Source organism: Homo sapiens, chromosome 4 (assembly GCF_000001405.40).
Source record: "Homo sapiens chromosome 4, GRCh38.p14 Primary Assembly".
Taxonomy (NCBI): Eukaryota; Metazoa; Chordata; class Mammalia; order Primates; family Hominidae; genus Homo; species Homo sapiens.
The window spans coordinates 130,480,561-130,482,357 of NC_000004.12; positions in this window are offsets into that span (position 1 = coordinate 130,480,561).

The window sequence follows — 1,797 nt, forward strand, 5'->3', positions numbered from 1 at the left end:
CTAAAACTCTTCTAAACAACGTGACCACCATTGAGGACAATTGTTCATTCACAATGAGAAGAAATCCAGACATCCAGATGAGAAGCAGTTTCTCTCTCTCTCTCTCTCTCTCTCTCTCACTTTCTTTCTCTCTCTCTCCTCACACACATTCAAGTCTTGGGAAATTATCTTTTACTCTACTGAAACCTTTAATGAACATTTTGTTACTATGCAATTTTGTCAGGCATATATGTAAGTAGAGTCTCCAGATCAGTCAGATTAAAGTGGGGGCAGAAGAAACAAAATAACTTCAGAAGAGGACAGGAATTTCTGTGCCTAATAGAATAGTGATATCTTCCATATATTCATATTCCCAAAGGGAACCATGGGGTCATGATTTATAAAGTATGAAAGAATTCGAAGTGATTTCCTCTTTATTTTTCTATATTATTTGTAAATAAACTATGTTTGTTGGTGTTCTTTAGGCAATTACGTAAACATTTTCATGGCAGCTATGCCCATGAAACATCTACTGAATGCTACTGATTAGAGACACTTTCATTACTTAGTATCAGTTATTACTGATTATAGAAGTTGGTGTACTATTATCTTTGAAAAGATGTTCTTTAAAGGTAATTAATTCTGCCTTAATTCTGCAGCATCAACTTTTTCTAGGCTCTGAGTAAAATTAAGCATGGTGTGGTAGGCAGAATATCAGATACCCAAAGATGTTAATGTCCTAATCCCTGGAACCTGTGAATATGTTATGTTACAAGCTAAGTATGATTAGGCTTGCAAATAGAACTAAATTTATTAACTGCCCACTCAGAAGGACAGAGCAGCATGTAGGAAACTTACATAATGAACTTTTGCTGCAGAATTACTGCAGTACTATGCCAGGAAAGCAGAGAGAATCCACAGACCCTCCGAAGGAAGTGGATTGCTTCTGCAGGACCTGGGAAACAGCCCAAATACCGTGAGTGCCCAAGCTGTTTAAGTGGGAAAGGGAAATCATCCACCCCCAAACACACACCCTCACTGGGGAACCTGAAGGTCTAGATCATGGGAGAAGGATGTGACCTTACCTGGAACTGAGTCAATTTAGAGAGCTGAGCAAAATACAGGGGCAAAAGAAACAGCAGGAAAAGCCCTGTGGGCTCTCTGGATCCCCAGAGAAACCATTTATGACTTGTCACACAGGGGTCCTTGGGGAGGGCTGCCAGAAGAACTCCAAAAAGACCACAAAAAGGAGGAAATCTCCAGATGAACTTTGTAACAATTCCAACCCTATATGAAGTCTCCTGGCCAGAACTCAGGGGAGGGCCTGAATCTGGTGTGCAGACTGCACAGGCAGGGGAAGAACCAAAGCCCAGATTCGTTCTTACAGGCCACAAAACAAGGCTCAATAAATTTAAGAAAATTGAAATTATACCAAGTACTCTCTCAGACCACGGTGGAATAAAACTGGAAATCAACTCCAAAAGGAACCTTCAAAACCATGCAAATAGATGGAAATTAAATAACCTGTCCTTCAGTCAACAATGAAATCAAGATGGAAATTTAAAAATTATTTGAACTGAACAATAATAGTGACACAACCTATGAAAACCTCTGGGATAGAGCAAAGGCACTGCTAAGAGGAAGGTTTATAGCCCTTAAACGTCTACATCAAAAAGTCTGAAAAAGCACAAATAAACAATCTAAGGTCACACCTCAAGGAACTAGAGAAACAAGAACAAACCAAACCCAAATCCAGCAGAAGAAAGGAAATAACCATGATCAGAGAAGAACTAAATAAAATTGAAACAACAACAACAA